This window comes from Homo sapiens, chromosome 20 (genome assembly GCF_000001405.40).
Source record: "Homo sapiens chromosome 20, GRCh38.p14 Primary Assembly".
Taxonomy (NCBI): domain Eukaryota; kingdom Metazoa; phylum Chordata; class Mammalia; order Primates; family Hominidae; genus Homo; species Homo sapiens.
The window spans coordinates 41,648,328-41,652,267 of NC_000020.11; the positions used below are offsets into that span (position 1 = coordinate 41,648,328).

The window sequence follows — 3,940 nt, forward strand, 5'->3', positions numbered from 1 at the left end:
AAAAGGGCATCTCAGGGATCTAGGGAGTAGGAATTAGCAGTCCTTTTAGGAAGCTTGGATGGAGTAGCTGTACTATAAGGTCATCACTTTCATTCCTGGATCATTCTGCTCAAGATTCAAAATCCAGAGAGGGAAAGGGTCCAATGGGTTCAGCATAAATTAAGTGCTTGCTATTGCCCAGGGGAGAGCAGGACCCCGAGGTTATGTGCAATGCAGGCAGAGATTCCCCCCAAAGAAAGAACAGCTTGAAAACTGTGCTATTTGCACCCTGGGCCTACCATAAAAATCAGAAGTAGGGAATGAAGAAATGGCCCAAGGCAAGTAGAATAATCTTCCTCTACAGCCAAGAAACTAGCCAAGAACCCAAATGGTGGTTAATCTAAGGATCCAGTGGCTATACCTTGAGACACTGGCTGGGGCCCAGATGATCCATGTGGACTTGCTTCCACTTTTGTGCCAAAGACAGCTCTGCCTGCCCCCAAGTAACTTGGGACCCAACAGGACTAAACCAGTCAATTCTGGGGATGGATGAGATGGGGATGCAGTGGGGGGGACAGATCCTCAGACAGGAGGCCAAAGCGTAGGACAGGGATAGAACCTACTCACTTTGTTCTTAGGGTATGTTAGAGGATAACATTTGTTTGTACTCAGAGCTCTTTAGCAAAGAGTTATTTAACATGCGATGTCATTGTCCCTGAAAGCCACACTCAAGAAGCACCCAAGGGCCCTGGTCAATAAAAAAAAATCTTATCTTCACTCTCTATGGTGGAATTGTTGGGCGAAAGCAATGACAGCATGAAAGGGATTACGAATGTTTTACTGGGATCAAGTGGGTATCAGCTGTGCCCACACATGGGGGTATGGCATGTCTGGGTATGTCTGTATTGAGCTTGCCAACCAGACATCAGTTTGCATAAGGGCTTCTTGGGAGAAAACTCACCCTTAACCAAAAGGAAACCAGAGAACAAGCTAACCTAGTAAATGGGGCCCTCGTCTTGGGCAATTCTAGTTCAAAGAGGAGACTTCCATTCAGATTTGTGTTCAGTAGGCACATGTCTGAATCTTAAGGTGGTGGTGGAGGAGGGAGACAGAGAGGGGAGACACACACACACACACACACACAGAGAGAGACAGAGAGAGAGAGAGAGAGAGAAAGGGGAGGGATATAATAAATTCTGAAATTTGAAAAATGAAAACATGCTATAAGTGGGAAAATTGGAAGAGTTGCCACACTAGATACTTGGTCAAGCCCTGCCTTCAAGCAGTTCAGCTGTGGATCTGTCATTGATTCTCAAGGCCTGGCATCTTGTGTATCTCAGCATTTTTGGCAGTGTCTGGAAGAAGAGAGCATAACTGAGCAGATGCAGCTGTGCTCACTGGAGCGTGGGTGGAGCCAAAGAAGAATATACCTGCAAAGCTTTCAGGATCACCTCCCAGGCTTGTAAATACGTGGGCCCCTGAATTATCTGTTGTGAGGCTGTTATCTAGAAGCAGGGGTTTGGGGTTTGAAGCTAGGGTCGAGAACCATCAGAATACAAAGTACTGGAGAAAGAACATTCCAGGCAGAGGGAATGGCAGGGCATGGAGATCTTAATAGCCTGAATACGTCTTGTAGTACAGGCCCAGTTACTCTCATTTGAAAAATGTCTAGCCATCTTCATCTCGGTGGTGAATCTGCAGTGGAACTACCTTGGCTGGTACTTGCATCCATGTTAAAGAAGCCCAGTTTTTTAAAGGCTGAGTATGTGGTTCAACCTGGGGGCCGGCTGGCCTCTCTCCCTCCTTCTGAATGCTTCCCTTCCTTCCTTTGTCTGTGTCCCTTTCTCTTTCCCTCATCAGTCCTTTTCTTCTGTAAGACCAGTGCTTTGCAGTAGCTACCTTCAGGAAAGCTGATGGTTCATGCCTTCCAGGAGAGAAAGTTCACAAATTGCAACATGGTTTTGTTTTTGTTTTTTGTTTTAAAGCTGAGCAGCAGGATCACAGAACCTGCAGGTTTGCTGTCTGCTCAGCAGGACAAAGAGAGCAGAGAGAGGAACATGAAAACCAAGCGGACCAGAAGAAAGGAAAACATGAAGGAGGCTCATTTAAAGGGGGAGGAGACTTTGCTTAAGATGCTGGCTTGGGGGAGGGTGACTGCACCAAACATGTGCTGTTTCCAGGGTCCAGATGGTGTCATTTGCCCTGCAAAACAAGTAATAGACAACATGATTTTGATGCTCAGAAATAAATCTGTGAGTAAGTCATTTGGGGGAAATGATGCCCATGGCTGTTATACTCACAACAGAAGAGATTCAACTACATTTGAAAACAACTGCCCTGCCTTGCTGGCCTCTAGTTCATTTAAATGCTGTATTTACATTGTTACCAGCTGTATTTGCACAGCTAGAACTTCCACCTGCTTGATAATTTACTTAAGGTACATATTGTATTTACATGATATAGACCAGAGTAGGGAAACTGGTCATACCTGTTTGGGGCTGGAAAGAGCAGCAGCTCATCTGAAATTTTCATCTTGGCAGACCCACTGCCTTTGCTATAGGTGCTGGCACATAGTAAATACTGTATAATAATAATAATAATAATAATAATAATAATAATAATAATAATAGTTAACTCTCATGGAATGCTTTAAGGTATGGAGAGTTTCTATAACTTACCCACAGTTAAACAGCTATTCATGTACTAAAGCCAGCATCTGAACCCAGGCTGGATCTGGATGTTTTAGTACTGGTTGTTCTTCAGCATAAAGACCCCTGCTTCAAGATGGCAGATTGAACAAGTGCAATTGATTACTAACCCTCTCTTCCAAAACCCTACAAAAACAACACTGCAAGAAATTGTAAAATGTTTAAATGTACGAAGATAAAGAGTGTGGGAGAGCAGACATATCCCTATCCCTAAGCAGCAATACAATTTTAGAAGCTGGAAAGCACATGAATGAATGGTGGCTGACTTCGCAGACCCAGAAAGCTGAATCCTAAACTGGCAGTGAGAAAAGCCAAGAAACAGCAACCTGATTTCATGGCAGAAACTCCCCAAGGCTCAGGAATTAGTGGCACCAGATGGGGCTGAAACAGGAAGATTGGTTCAAAGTCTGATATGCAGATTCCTAGATCCTTTCTTCAACCCCAGCAGAAGATTGCATGTTTATTTTCTTGTGGAGGTAAAAGAGGGCTTCTGAATCGGGGGTGCCAGGTACAATTGAGGGCTGGGATATTCCCTGATAATAGTAGGGAAATCAGATTTAAATTTGCATACTGACTGTGAGATTCCCACCATTTTCTTCTCTTCTCTCACAACTGCTAGAATGCTTGTAACCAGAATTATTACCCTTGAGGCAGGAGAGTGGGAGACACTTTTCTCTGGGAAATATGACCAGCCTGAGAAGGCGGACCTCACAAATGGATCCAGGAGGATCACCAAACAGTGAAGCCCATAGACCACATGCCCAAGCCAAGTGCAAAGAGCTTTTGATTGGGTTTTTAATGCTTTACTCTTAAGCATGACCAGGCAACCTAAACACTTAAACCTAAGCCTAACCCAAACATCGAATTATCCAAGCAACTATTACAGAGCAAAAGGGGCTTTCTGCCTGATGCACTAGAAGCCATTACTAAGACGCCGGGCTTTTGAGAAAAGAAAAGATTTTTATTGTAAGTTGACTAACAAGGAGACAGGAATCCAGCTCAAACCTGTCTCTCTGCGCTGGCTTTCAAGCAGTCATTTTATTAGGAAAGGTTTAGGGAGTGAGTTCTGGGATTAGCAGGTGATTGGTGGAAGAAGAGGGGAGGTCTGGACAGTCCTTGGGCATGTGCAGTTATCTTTTTATGCTACCTCATGGAGCACATGTGCAAATTTGGGGGGAGTTAGCATGAAACATGTGGCGGAAATTCAAGCTGCGATTCAGCAAACTGGTTCTGCACAGATTCTAGTTGGCCAT

At 44.4% G+C, this 3,940-nt stretch overlaps 1 annotated feature.

The window, feature by feature from the left end:
- Positions 1,721 to 2,238: an enhancer, noted in NCBI's record as "NANOG-H3K4me1 hESC enhancer chr20:40278687-40279204 (GRCh37/hg19 assembly coordinates)". NCBI's record gives its function as "activates a minimal SCP1, AML or CMV promoter by ChIP-STARR-seq in naive H9 embryonic stem cells {active_cell/tissue: H9 hESC(naive)}" and the evidence as "EXISTENCE:reporter gene assay evidence [ECO:0000049][PMID:30033119]".